Source organism: Homo sapiens, chromosome 6 (assembly GCF_000001405.40).
Source record: "Homo sapiens chromosome 6, GRCh38.p14 Primary Assembly".
NCBI classification, from domain to species: Eukaryota; Metazoa; Chordata; class Mammalia; order Primates; family Hominidae; genus Homo; species Homo sapiens.
The window spans coordinates 39,659,058-39,674,616 of record NC_000006.12 but is presented as its reverse complement, the minus strand read 5'-3'; the positions used below and the strand labels follow the sequence as shown (position 1 = coordinate 39,674,616).

At 37.2% G+C, this 15,559-nt stretch overlaps 1 protein-coding gene across 9 annotated transcripts in view; it reads left to right on the top strand.

Moving 5' to 3' along the window:
* Nucleotides 1-15,559, top strand: part of KIF6 (kinesin family member 6) — a 395,419-nt gene that overhangs the window by 50,792 nt on the left and 329,068 nt on the right. The window lies entirely within an intron of this gene.

Here is a 15,559-nt window from a genome sequence, read left to right as displayed (position 1 = left end):
CTGTTTGTATATTTCAGTTCACATTTCCACATTTTACCCACAAGGCTTGTTCTTAGTCAACTTGCTCAGCTCAGTTCAATTTGGTTCAGCCCATATTTCTTAAGTGCGCACTCTGGGCCTTTGTGTATACGGTATGCATCTGAGATATAAAGAAGAAAAAGCCACAGCTCCTTCCTTCGTGATGCTCATAGTCTGGTAGAGGAAGAATTCAGGTAAGCAAAAAAGCCAGTCATATGATCATCTCTTTCTGCATTTTGCTCAGGATCAACTTCTACACGACTGATCTATAGCTTATGGCCCCTGTCCTCTTTCCTTTCTTGCTAAGTCATAGACATACCAGTTGAATTTATACAATTCATCTGTGGGGAAAGTTTCACAAGGCTGATTTTTCCATATATCTTCTCTGTATAATTTATTGTTAATAAATTCATTTAAGTATTTTAAAATCCTAAAATATATGTCAGTAAAGGGTGCTAAAATGTTAAACAAATATTACTTTCAGATTTTCTTTTCTTCTCTTTTTATTCCTATTCTATTTTCCCCCTTGGTTAATTTTATTTTTCTCAAAATTCTCCCTTTCTTTTCTAAACCTTATATTTCCCCAAAAGAATAGTACCAGATAGTCTCATATCAATTTGATCTTTTTTGGCCTGGTTCCTTATATTGACTTTCCTGTCCAAGTCTTTCTACTTGTTCTAAGACTTCATCTCATTTTTTATTATTGGCCTTTCAAGATTTGTTAGACAAACAGTTTTCAGTGAAAGAGCTTAATTTAGTTAAGCACTAAGTTTTTATCTGGGCTAGAAATTTTGGATCTTACCTTTACTCTTTTCTCACTATAACCCCAAACAACATTCATTCATCAGGAAAATCTGTCAATATTTCCTCTTTGAAGCATTTTACATCTGTTTCCAAAGCTTTATTCCCATATTTAGTGTCACAGTCCATGCCCTTATCTTTTCTCAGCTGATAATGGGATAACCTCCTAAATATTTCCCATTTCTTCTGACATTAATCTTAGTCTTTTGTTTTTCAAATTATGATTCATGTTCCTGTAGGTTATAAACTCAATTTACTTGTTCATGATCATAACTTTTTAGTGATGTAAAATAGAACATATACACAATATTGGAGTACATGGCACATAATAAGAGATTTCATGAAATTGTTTTAATTATTTACATATGTATGCTAAGTGTTAACTTACCACTTGTAATGGGAGATTATAATTGTGTTGGTTGTCCTTTGGAGGGGCATCTATCTAGCATCTGAACCTTTCCCCATGATTAGAATATTCTGTATTATATGAGACTTGGTAGGATGTAGGGCCTGCTTCCATTATAGAAGCTAAAAAATAGCCCAGGTCTTGTCTTTCCCAGCATCCCTTGCAGCTAGGTTGCTTACCTGTAACCTAAGCTTGCTTAATCAGATGCCTGGTTTGTTGAACTGGCACTTACAGAAGCAGGGAAAATGAATACCAAGGCTGCTGGTGGTGGCGGACACCAGCATTTGGCTTTTGAGGCAGCAGCGGCTGACAGCCAGTGATAGCAACAGGGTCCTCATCAGAATGGTTCTGGTCATGGTTTGGCTATGATTCTGGCTACCTCACTTCCTTTTGCTCCTGCCTATTTTCTGAGCTGGCACTTTAAACTTCCTGGAGATTTTATGAGCTACTCTAGTTTCTTTCAACCAATTTCTTTTCTACTTGCTATGGACTGAATTTTGTCATCTCTCTACTCCTCCATTCATATGTTGAAGTCCTAACCCCCAGTGTGACTATATCTGGAGGTAGGATCTTTGGAAGTAATTAAGGTTAAATGAGGTCATAAGAGTGGGACCCTAATCAGATAAGACCAAGACTTTATAGGAAGAGGAAGAGAGAAAGAGAAACCTCTCTCTTTCATGTGAGGATGCAGCAAGAAGGCAGCTGTCTGCAAGCCAGGGACCTCACCAGAAACCAAACCCTGTCAAGCCTTGATTGTGGACTTTCCAGCCTTCAGAATGTGAAAAATAAATTTCTGTTATTTAAGCAACCCAGTCTTTGGTATTTTGTTATGGCAACCCAAGCTGACTAATATACTGCTTAAATCAAGTAGAGTTGGTTCTGAAAAGAATTCTGAAAAGTTCATAGGGTTGTTGTAAATATTAACTGAGATTATGTATATTATCTGTCACATGGTAAATTTTCAACAAATAATTGTTATATTATTAGTAGTAGTATTCATTAAGTCCTCAAAGTCATTGATATGTTCTTGGAAACTATGGCTTTAAGCAAAACGTATAACAAAACCAATGTTACCATAAGCTAATTGATATAAACAAGAGTTAAGTTTCTAGCTGGGCGTGGTGGCTCATGCCTGTAATCCCAGCACTTTGGAAGGCTGAGACAGAAGGATCACTTGAGCACAGGAATTTGAGACCAGCCCAGGCAACATAGTGAGACCCTCTCTCTAAAATAAAAAAGTCAACTTCCTACACCGTATTTCTGGTCACAGAACTATCACCAAACATCTAAATAAAGATCAAAACACTTTTAATATTAAACATGTAAGGTAATTATTTTCCTGCTTATTTCCAGTTCAGGGTTGGCAACAGCTTAGGGTACCAGGTGGGAACCAACCCTGGATAAGGCACCATTCCATCACAGGGTGCATTCACACACTGACACTCACTGAGACTGTGACCATTTAAACACACCAGTGAATCTAACATGCACATCTTTGAAGTATGGGAGGAAACCAGAGTACCCGAAGACAACCCACAAAGACATGGGGAGAACGTGCAAGCTCCACACAGACAGTGGCCCTGGCCAGGAATCAGTCTTTTTTCTTATCAATATTATAACAAAACAATGTTGAATGAAATGACATAATTTGAAAAGCCCTGCTATATTGTTATTAGGGACAAAGCAAGGTAGAGCTTTAGAAAAACAAAACAAAGATGTGGGGACATCAGATACAGAGTTTTGTCATTGAGGGAAGTCAGCTTGAGATGTCTGGGATGGCGTGAGAAGCACAATAGTGGGGAGTGCCTGGAGAATGAGCTGAACAGGAATGACATAGGAATGTAGGCCTCAGCTGGCCATCAGGAACATAGGGCAGGGCTCCTTTCCCCTGCCAGCCTCAGCTTCAGGCACCAATGCCTAGGATAGAAGCGGGCTAGACCCTCACACCAATACCCTCACGGAGATAACTAGGAAGCTGCTGTTGGATATTATTATCACTAGAGTCTAGAGAAGTCTAGAGATCTCTCCAGGCATTGCAGTCCTTTGATGAAAACAGCAAAATCCAATGTCTGCCTCCAGGGAGGGTTGAGGCAGCTAAAAATGGGACATTCATTGCAAATATTGAGTCTACAAATACTACAAATCCTTTCACATCCTGCTTAAAGCACATTTCCTTAGTGAAACTTCCAGTCACCCCAACGGAAGTAAATCACTCTTCCTTTTTGGCTTTCTCAGCATTTGGTCTGTGTCTTTAGTAGTTTGTCTTGTGTATTGTGCATCATTTCGCCAACTGAACTATAAGCTTCTTGAAGTCAGGAATCCTGTCTGATCCATTGATATATTCCCACAGTAATTATCAAAGTGCTTTGTATGTGACAGGTGCAAAATACATATGGAATTAAAAACCAAATTAGTGATTTTTTAGATAAGTGGTGACATAATGCAGTTTATTTCCTAAAGCTGTTTAACTAAGTGTTAACTACTAATGAACTACAGGTGTGAATTATAGGTGACATCTACAATGCCCTCATATGGTTGGTTTGGGGAGGGTGCTCAAAGCCTACCCTTATTCAAACAGCCAGAGGCAGAAGGTAATACAGATTTGCATATTGATATACTATTTCTAAGGGAGGAGGACTCACTAAAGGCAACACCTAGAGCACTTTTTGAGTGAGCCAGACCCTAAAGTCAATAAACCAAAGTACAGTTGACCCTTGAACAACATGAATTTGAACTGTGCGGAGGATCCTATTTACTTCCATTTTCTCCCACCTCTGTCACCCACCCCGAGTCTGCAAAACCAATGCCACCTCTTCTACCTCCTCTTTCTCCTCACCCTACTCAATGTGAAGATGAGGATGAAGACCTTTATGTATGATGACCCACTTCCACTTAATAAATAATAAATATCTTTTCTTCCTTATAATTTTCTTAATAATATTTTCTGTAGCTTTATTGTAAGAATATGGTACAAAATTTGTGGAAATTGGCCATTTATGTTATTGGTAAGGCTTCTAGTCAACAGTAGGCTATTACTAATTAAGTTTCTGTAGAGTCAAAAGTTATATGCAGATCTTTGACTGCATCATTCAAGGATTAACTGAACTTTGTGAAAACACCTTGCCTTAATATCTGTAGTCTAAAACAGCATTATGATGAAGTGTCATCATATTAACAAATTGTTACTATAGAGATCTAGTTACTCTCCTTGGATGTTCCCCAAACGCTCTTTGAGGCTGGGGTTTCTGTTCCTTCTCCCGCGCCCAGAGTAGCCACATGCTGTCATGGAAAGAGTGAGGCAGAGCTTCATGGACTGCTCAGGGCGTTGTCACGGGTGTAAGGACCTTCTCACTTATCTGAATTGATGCCTGGTAGCTTTTTCCATTAAAAGACCCTTTCCCAGTGACTTTGAGGAGAGCAGGCCATCTGCTTTACACTCAGTCTTGTCTGGGCTTCTCAGAAAAGCAATTTTAAAGAAAGAGAAGCAAGCAACATGTGGTTTGCCATCACTGGCAATGTTTCCTTAAGTCTGCGTATGCTGGAGTCCAAGCCCAGATATTCAGGAGCCAGCTCAGCCAGCACCTGGCCACCTCTGCCCTGCCTCAATTACACCAGTTACTGCAGACTCCACACTGCATCACCAAAGGTGCCGCCCACCTCGTGCTGCCCCGCATAAGGTCTAAATATGTCTATTCTATTCCGGGGAACAGTACTTCTTAACATCTTGTTTGAGGTACAAAGCCTAAGTACCTTTGTGACAGAAGTCAGACGACAGAAAAAACCTGAGAGTTTATTATTACAATTAAAGCTTTTAAAGTAGCGGGCTATGAATGAATGGTAACATTTTCAAAAGAAAATAAACTGAGAATGGACCTATGTGAGATGTGGAAAATATTTTAAAGCAAAGGAAATGATTCACCACCTCAAAGACGTGAAACTTAGATGAATTATGCAGGTCAGCTTTTAACTTCTGTGGAGAGCCTCTATGTCTTGGATAAATCCATATGTGTGTGCTTTGCATAACACAGAAAATTATTTAACATTAGTATTCAGAGAGTAAAGAACTCTTTGAATGATTTTAGCCATTTCCTCTTAGAATCAGAGTGGTGGTGGTGTTGGGGGAGGTAGCATGACTTGTGGAGTAGAGCTTTGTTTACATAATGGACCCTTTGTAAAGTAATTAAAAAGTGACCTTTGAAATATTTAACTTGGTTTGTTTTGTTAGATTTTCCTATGTATTTATTTTTCTGTGGAGTCTGTTTTTGCAACTCTGCAAGATATCTAAGCGAACACTTTAGGATAACATATTTTATCCTTTGTTTCATGAATCAAATGGCTGTACAGGTATTAAGTAATAAAAAATTATTTTGAAAAATAAATTTATTCAAGTTACTTTCTCACCACTAGCTAAAATAAGGATTTTATGGACTAGTCAAAGTTGCTCAATATCTAGTCATCCGAATAAATGTTTCTATTATTATAATTTAAAATTTTTTTCCACATAAATTTCATTTTTAGATTTCATTTTTCATTACTGAAAATGGGCCTAAATATGTATTCACATAATTGCATTACTACTTTGAAAGTAATATAAAATATTACTTAAAATTATAATGGAGGAGGGTCTGAATTGTATTTGCGTTTCTTATTTGGGGGATAATTAATAATTAATTTACATTGGAGGATCTGGCGAGGCAGAACAGAAGCAATCAGGAAAAGTTTTCATGAGATGGCCTGGGGTTCTGGATACAGAAGGCATGTGTAGCAATTAAACTCGATCAAAAGTGAAATGGCTGTTTTGTGAAGTAATGAGCTTCTCATCACACGAAGTATTCAAGCAAAGCCTGAATGACTTTATACTGGAGATTCTGAGGTGCAGTGGGTTTCTTTATTCTGTGAGGAGATGTTCAGTAGGGAGACACTTCTAAGGGCTCTTTGGATTCTAGGACAAAAGTTCTAAATAGTTTAGTTTGTCCTAATTGTGTACTTTTTGTTGAATTGAGTCAGTGTTTGAACTTATCATATGATTATTTTTTTCTCCTAAAAAGAAAGCCGGAAGGAATCACTCTTAATTATTTAAGGTACAGTTGAACACTTAACCTTTTAAAACTTCAGAACCTAAAATAAATAGGTTTATTTAGATCATAATTCTGAAAGACATGTGTTAGTCTGTTCTTGCATTGCTAAAAAGGAACGCCTGAGGCTAAGCAATTAATAAAGACAAGATCAATTTGGCTCACAGTTCTGCAGGCTGTACAGGGAGTATGGTGACGGCATCTGCTTTTGGTGAGAGCCTCAGGAAGCTTACAATCATGGCGGAAGGTGAAGGGGGAGCTGGTGTCTTCTGTGAAAAAAGCTGGAGTAAGAGAAAGAGGGGCAAGGTACCACCCACTTTTAAACAACCAGATCTCTCATGAACTCAAAGCGAGAACTCACTCATCATCAAGGGGATGGCACTAAGCCACTCATGAGGGATCACCCCCATGATCCAAACACCTCCCACCAGGCTCTATCTCCATTACTGGGGATTACATTTCAATGTAAGATTTGGAGGGGACAGACATCCAAACCATATCAGACACAATCCTGAACACCATTATCCTGAATGTTGAAATCCTGAAAGATCAAAATTCCCAAAGTCTAAAATCGCTAACATCTAAAATCTCAGTAATTACACTCACAGGATAATTGCATCATGCTCAGCAGTACTATTACCTTGTTATTGTCTTTATTTGGAAATTAAGTATGTTTTAAGGAGATATGTATGGGTGCCAAGTTGACATAGAGTGGACTTGAAGACTTAATTTTAGGTGTCAGTTTGACTAGATTAAGGAATATCTAGAAAGCTGGTAAAGCATTCTTTTGGGTGTGTCTGTGAGGGTGTTTCCAAGGGAGATTAGTGTATGAGTCCGAGTGGATTAGGTGGGTGTGATTTGCCCACAGTGTTAGCGGGTGCCATCCTATTGGTGCTGGCCAGAGAAAACAAATACAGAAGGCAAACTGGTCTCTGAGAGCTAGGACAGACTTTTCTTCTGTTGCCTTAAACGTCAGAACTCCAGGCTCATTGGCCCTTGGATTCCAGGACTGACTTCATCCCCACCCCTCCCACCCCATCCTGAGGCTTTTAGCCTGAGCCAGCTATGGGCATCCCAGGGTCGCTGGCTTTCAGATGGCCTGTTGTGGGACTTCTCAGTCACCATAATTGTGTGAGCCTTTCCCCTAATAAATCCTCTCTCATTTGTCTATGTAAATATCCTATTGGTTCTCTCTGGAGAAACCCTGACTAATAGAGATTTGGTATCGGGAAGCTGAGTATCATTCCTTTTTACTCTATTTCTTACAACACAGTGAAAGAGATCTGTGAAACTGTTCCCGTGCAAAAAGGCTGTGATAAATTAAGTGTATGAGGAACTTAATGAAATGAAAGATAAAAGTTTAAAAGCTAATTATTATTGGTGCTGCAAAAGCAGAAAATTGCTTAATTGCAATGGCCACACAATTAGACTCTCAGATAGACAGAATATATTTACAAAATTTGTAGGCCACAATCCCCCTTCAAATACGAGTGCTGCAAGTGTTTCAAAGATCATAGAAAAAGTGAAAACACAGGCGAAAAATGCAAGAAATCTCCCCTGCCAAATTGTTCAATCATGTACGACTTCTGCCCCTTCACACATAACACCATGCTTGCCTTCAAAAAACATCCTTTGTCAGAGAGTAAAAAGAATTCGAGAAGCTCAGCAACTTTCTGGACCAAAGACACTTGCTAATATTGAGCTTTCTCCAGTGTTACAGAACACACTAGGTGGTGAATTATCCTTGACTAGAGATTTGACTGTAGAAGAAGATAGAGTTCTTACGTATATATTTACCACAAAATCTAACATAAAAACTAGCACTTTTTTCACTTTGGCTAATGGTTGGCACTTTCAAAGCTGTCCCCACTATTTTTTAAATCAACTGTATACAATTCATAGTTGTATATTCATATATACAATTCATAGCTCCTGTTAGATCATAAAATTCTAGAACTGATATGCTTGTTTATGTACTAATGACTGGAAAAAACAAAGTACTTTATAAATGCTTATTCAAAGATGTGGTGGACTTTGCAGAAGAAAATAGATTTCAACTGAATTGCCAAACCATAATGACAGATTTGGAATTAGGTGTGATCAAGGCTTCTAAAAATGATTTTTAAGGTGTTACCAACAAAGTTTGTTTTTGCCCAGTGCATTTGGTGAAAAATTCAGATGAGTGGATTGGCCACGAATACTTGAATTTAAAAATGCATGATTTGCCTGTATGACATTCCTTCCAGCTGATGACATTCCAGATTTTAATGAATTAAAACCACATTTGCCTGAAGAAGCCAGTGAAGTAACTGATTTGAAAATAATTATGTTCATGGTAGGATAAGAAGACATGGTGTTGCTGTTTGATCACCAGTATTGTTTCTGTCAAATTTGTGGTCTGTATATGAGTGTATGCAGAATGGATTTCCATGTACCCAAAACAACAAAGAAGCACAGCACAGAAAATGGGAAAATTTAATAGACACTCTTCATGTTTGTGCATGCCAAATAATAGAAGGATTTCAGGAAGATCAGCGTCACATAGAAAATTAATGTGAACATATTCTGCAAGGAGAGTTATGTCCTAAAAGAAAAAAAAAACAGCTCTTCACTGCGATGTAAGACTTCAAAATATAATTAATGATCGTGAAAGTTGGCCAGCTCTTCTGGACAGATCTGTGCAGTTGCTTATAGTCTATTCCTGTAATACACTTTTTCATGTTGAATTTTCTTTTTGGATTTGGGTTTTATTTACTTTTTATAGTTTTTTTAACTATTTAAAATTGTCGGCATTATTTTTTTCCAATTAATTATGCTATGTATTTCATCTTCACATCATTTCCAATACTAGAGTTATAAATTGTGTTGAGACTTTTAGAGAATTCTCATTTGTTGTATGCAGTTTTTGCAAATTTGACTTCACAAAAGTGCATTGTCACCACATTGACTTTGTGTGTAAGCATTGTGCATATTGACTTTGTGTGTAAGCATTGTGCATGTATGCAAAAACATTGTAACTTCCTCTCTAAATGAAGAGATGTCCATTTTGTACGTCTGCATTTGTGAAAGATAAAATTTCTCGAGATTTTGGCTCTTTGGATAACTGAATATATGGGGGTGACCCATCATGGTTTTCCATCAATTTCGTCTTAGGTTGTTCATTTTGGTGTTTCAGATGACCACAGTTATAAAGCTGGGTGCATGCAATTGCCAACCATAGTAGTATATGTTTATACATTTCCCTTTTCGACCTATTTGTTTATGAATACAGCTCATATGCTCATAACTTCATACTCTGCAACTGTCATTGTTATACATGAGGGTTTACACTTGTAAAAATATGTTATTATTGCCTAGTCTGTTGTGTAAAATGACCTATGAAATGTTTTGTCATGTTTTTGTGTTTCTCAAATAAATTCCCTTTTAAAAATGTAAATAAATATCTTTTAGAGAATATTTAAAATTATTCTTCCCAGATTTTGATCTTCCAGGATTTCAACATTTGGCATTACGGTATTAAGGATTGTATCTTTGGGGATTATGATTGACTCCCAAATTAAATCACATAGGGAACAAATGATTTATTCAAATTTTGGAAAGGATGCAAAAAAGCGTCTCTAACTTCTTACTCTCACAACTTTAATTCAAGCTAGAGAAGAGAAAAATATATATGTCTTAGCTATTTTTTGTCTTCCAGATCTCCTGTACTTCAAGCAATTAAATCTTGCTCCCACCCAGTTCATGTTCCTTCTTTACATATCTAATTCACTACCAAATATATTTCACAAATTTTTATGTGAAGTCAACTGTCATGAAAAACACTGTATATTTTGGGTCCGGAGGACACGAATTTATTTAGAAATATCTTGAGAGGACACATAATCCCAGCTCCTTCCGCATGCAGCCATCTGTCAGTGAGATGTTTAGGGGTGAAAAATGAGTTTAATAGTTTTCAGTCTCAGAATCAAGGCTGCCATCATGTGGGGGAAATTAGAGGTAATTGTAAGGTCATTGTCTAAGACTGATTGATGTTTCCAGAAATGGTGATTCTCAGGCTACCTTACCTTCTATTTCTTCTTTGGGATCGCTACTACCCCACCCTGAAACACCAAGCTTGAACTCTCTGACCTGCTTGTTTATGTCTTGACAATCCTAGACAATCCTTTGATTCTCTCCTTTCCCTGGTTTCTTATTATTTATAACAGTTATCACCACGTGAAATCATATTATATACAGCATTTATTTTGTTTTAAACTTGATATTAGTTCCAGTCCTAATTAGTTCTACTAAAATGTAAGCCTCATGAGGACAGGAAGCTTGCTTAATACATATAAGTACTAGGAACAAATCTTTCAACATGTTTATTGGCTTATTTATCTGCTTAGGTATCTAGTAGTGGTGATTAAATTGCTTTACATTTCTTTCTTAAAACTACACTGTCTCATGTGATGTGATCTCTGCCACACCTTCATTCTCTCTTTTGATGTCATTATAAAATGCTGTCTTCAGTCTGTACCTTTAAGGGAAGCCAAATATCACAACTGTTTTTTTCTTTAACAAAAGGCAATTACTTCTTTAGATTTATCTATTTTTTTTAACTTACTGCTCCTTGTAATTCCTTTCCTCCCTGCTCAGCTCATGTCTTAGAAGTGACTGTGCACTCTGCTGCATTGGCTCCGTTCTCTCCAGTTTGATTTGTGCTATATTCATATTTTATAAATTCCCCTCATCAACATATTTTCATAAAGCTTCTTATAGCCAAATCTAAAAGTGCCTGTATTATACTTATTCTGACCTTTCCCAGTTCCCACCTGCAACTGGCCATGCTTCTGCCTTTGGTTTCAGTAGCACATGGTCCCATGTGCTTCTTGAGGGATCTCTGGGACTGACTACTTTTATTTCTAACTCTGCAGTTTATGGCTTAACTCCCTACTTCTCCTCTTCCTGTCATCCATCTGCAATCACCAACCAAGGAACAAATCCTTATAGTCCTATACTTATAGTTCTTATTTTCCACAGTGTCCCTTGGAAATCTTGTTTCAAAATTTAAATTTCCTTGTATCTACAAATAGTCCAAAACAGATTTTTTTCCATTAGTGTTCCTGTGACTGGTTGCTCTAATTTGATCTTCAGAAAGATAGCAAGTTCCACCAGGCACACTTTGGGAGGACGAGGCCAGTGGATCACTTGAGTCCAAGAGTTTGAGACTAGCTTGGGCAACATGGCAAAACCCCATCTCTACCAAAAATACAAAAACTAGCCAGGCATGGCGGTGTGCACCTGTAGTCCCAGCTACTAGGAGGCTGAAGTGGGAGGATCAATTGAGTCTGTGAGGTTGAGGCTGCAGTGAGCCATGATGGTGCCACTGCACTCCAGCCTGGGCAAGACCCTATAAAAAAAAAAAAGAGAGAGAGAAAAGAAGAAAAGAAAAAAAGATACTAAGCTGAAGTTGAATAAACAACTCCATGTGGACGCGTATTTTTGACTATGTGTGTGTGCAGACAATTTTTGGCTCTGAAGACATTGGGGTACGCCAGGCAGAGAAACACCTTGCTTTTGTGGATCTTGTTTTCAGTTTGAGTATTTTATTATTCAAGATAATTTTTTTTGAGATAGGGGCTCAGTATATTGCCCAGGTTGTTCTCAAACTCCTGTACTCAAGCAATCCTTCTGCCTTAGCCTCCAGATAAATCTTTAAAAGGACTTCTTACATTGGGTTTCGAATTGATATTGTCTCTATAAAAGCTGTGTGTTCAAACACCTACTTCAACCTACAAATCTTATGAGACTATTTTTACATTTAGTTATTATATAAGAATAGTCTCTTTCATTTGTTACCCTATTAACATTTGATTAATTCAAATTTAACAGTTGAAATTTTCCTAAACAATTAATTACAATTCTAATTTAGCTAATTAAATTCCCTTAAACATTTTAAACCTCATTTACACATGTAATGTATGTGACTGTCTCAAACACCTCAAATGCCTTGTGGGGCAGACTTACAAACCTAACAAATCATTTTAAGCACATAGCAACTTAAAAAATAGTAAGCAAACATATACCCATAGTAAATCAGCCTCTCTTAACATTTTAATGCTATTTCCAAAATTGAATCAAATGTACTTACACCACTTAATATCCCAAATCTGGAATTGATTATATGTTTTAAATTAAAGTCATAATATTTTTAAGTATTTCAAACTCTTTAAATAAAACAACTAGAATGGCCCAATGATATGAAAAGTACACTTAAATATATTCTATAATGTTATTAAGAGTATGGGTTTGATTTACTTTATCTCTATTCTTAATTATTTAAACTTTCCTGGGGTGCCAAGGTCTCCAGTACAATTAAAGTAAGCAGTTTTACCATCCATGGATGGCTGAGTATACCAGGTTGAAAAATCAGAATATCAGTATGATGAATTATTGGTCAGAGACTGACCTGATTTGTATTTTTCAAAGATGGCTCCTGGTTGCTAAGTGGAGAAGGATTGAGGGAGGTTAGAAGGTATCCATCTGGTAGTGACCCTTTTGTTCTGTGTAACTCTTCAACGGCTTTTCACGGAAAGGGCCTTTATTTTGTTCTCCCAGGGTACTCCTTATTAGCTCCCAAGGCTCTGTTCCTTCTTGTACCTCTCTTTTCTGCTATGGCCCTACTTCTTTCCCCGCTACTGCATGCCCTTTTAACTCCTTTTCTGATGTTTGATTTTTATTTCCTCTCAGTTTTACTACCATAGGTAGAATGGGATGCTTACATTCTTGGGGTAGAGGAAAGTTGGTCCCCAGGAAGAGAATGAGTTAAGGGAGAGAGAGAGAAAAAAAGAATGAATTCTTTACACATAGGCAATAGACACAGAAAAAAATCTAAAAGTGTACATAGCATATGTTAACCTGGGTTATCTTTGTGGAACATTATGGAGTACTTAACTTTGTGCTGTATGACATGATGTGTTTTTGACAAAGAACATATACTATTTCTATAATCAGTTAAATAAAAATAATTATGAGAAATGCAAATCAAAGGATTAGTGTGGCAATAAAATCAGAAAAATAGAAGTGAATCTTGGTGAAGAATTGAGCCTAACCATTTAAAAAATTATTATTATCAAATATTTTATCAATGCATAATTGTAGAGTAAAAATTGCTTTTAAAATAGCAGAATTTGATGTGTCTTTTCAGCCTGGTTGTGAGTTATAGTCACTGTGAGTAGGTTCATTTTGAAACAGTATCAGCTTTTCAGAGTGATTGATTCCATAGTGCAATAATTATGGTCTTATGGAAGTAAGACCAATTTGGATTTTGCAGCTCTCAGGGAAAAAGCAGCAGTGCAATAAACAAACATGTAAGCACCAGATTTTTGTGTGAAGCACTGCAAGGTGATTTCATGGGGACTCACAGGCAGTGAAAAGGAAACTATTACTTGCCTTAGAAAACTTGATATAATTATGGAATAATCCATAATGGCTTTGTTGACCAGAATAATTATATTTTAACTTTTGATTTATTTAGAAAGAAAATGGACGCTTCTGGATCACATTAATCTATTTTGTTATTTCACACTCATGTTAGTATTTTGAAGTTGCTGTAAAGTTTTTTATGAGGGGCACAGTGCTGACTGTGCTTAGACTGACAACATTCATCTCACTGAATCGAATAAATTGAATATTGGGGCTCCTTAGCTCAAAAAAAAATTTAGCTTTTGAAAGACTGTTTTGGATGACCCAGAAAAAAAAGGTAGAGGATTTCTGCTGTTGAAGGAAAGCTTCATTGACAAGATTGTGTGAGCATTTTATGTATCTGAACTTAGCAAGCTATAACTTCAAAACCTCCGAAGGGACATTGACAACACAACTAGACAGCTTATACCCCCATAGGTAGTTACTCACCCACTATGCTGAGATGATTTGATGATACCTCAAGCGGTTGAGAAAGATTCTGTGCTTAGGACTTCCCACCCAAGTATACACTAGCTTGTATACTCCGTATGAACTGTGACAGCACATGAATTTTACATGCATCCATTATATTGTACCTAGAACATTGCTGTGGAAAAAGGGGCACCATAAATGTCTTTTGCTATGAATGCATGAAGAAATAGATGCTTGAGGGAATAAATAATACAACTTCAACACATTTTTTATTGGAAATTTTTAAAAATTATTTTAGAGACAGGGTCTCACTCTGTTGCCCAGGCTGGTTTCAAACTCCTGAGCTCAAGCAATCCTACTGCCTCGGCCTCCCCAAGTGCTGGGATTACAGGCATGAGACACCATGCCAGGCCAGATTGGAGATTTTAATGAAACATATTATACTACATATATAAACTTATGGATAAATTTAATATGGCTAGGTTGGCCAGTTCTCAGCATGGCCAAATTTAAGCCATTTCTTTGAGGCTAAGTAAATCATTCAAAGTGAAATTTTACTGATTCAGATTTGTTGTGCTGATCAACCATGACTTGATGTATTAGTCCATTCTCACACTGCTGTGAAGAAATACACAAAACTGGGTAATTTATAAAGGAAAGAGGTTTAATTGACTCACAGTTCTGCTTTTGCTGGGAAGGCCTCAGAAAACTTACAATCATGGCAGAAGGCGAAGCAAACATGTCCTTCTTCACATGGTGGCAGGAGAGAGAAGTGCCAAGCAAAGGGGGAAAAGCCCCTTATAAAACCATCAGATCTTATGAGAACTCATTCACTGTCATAAGAACAGCATGGGGTAACCGCCCCCATGATTCATTTACCTCCCACAGGTCCATCCCACAACACGTGGGGATTATGGGAACTACAATTCAAGATGAGATTTGGGTGGGAACACACCCAAACCGTATCACTTGATCATTCATTAATAAGGTGAGAAAGCCAATTTGAGTGCTTACTGACCAGTTCTGTGGCAATATACAGAAATACACTTTTTTTGTAATCTGCTGCTTTGCTGGCCTTAGAATGGTGACCACAATTAAAGAAAGAAAATCAGATTAATGAGATAATTTTCCAAATACCGTAACAAAATAGGACATATATTTTCTATATGTAGCACTTTCTTGGCCCAGATACTCTTCAGTAACTGTTGGGAAATTGCTATAAAATACATAAAGAATTGGTCCTATTGTATGCATCTTTATGGTACAATATAACCTCCAGGTTAGGAGACCACATGTTCAAGTCACATTGGGGCCAGTTTTCCGGTTTAAATTTCAGCACAAAGGATTTATTGGAGATATTGGGAAGATTTCTTGACAGAGCTAT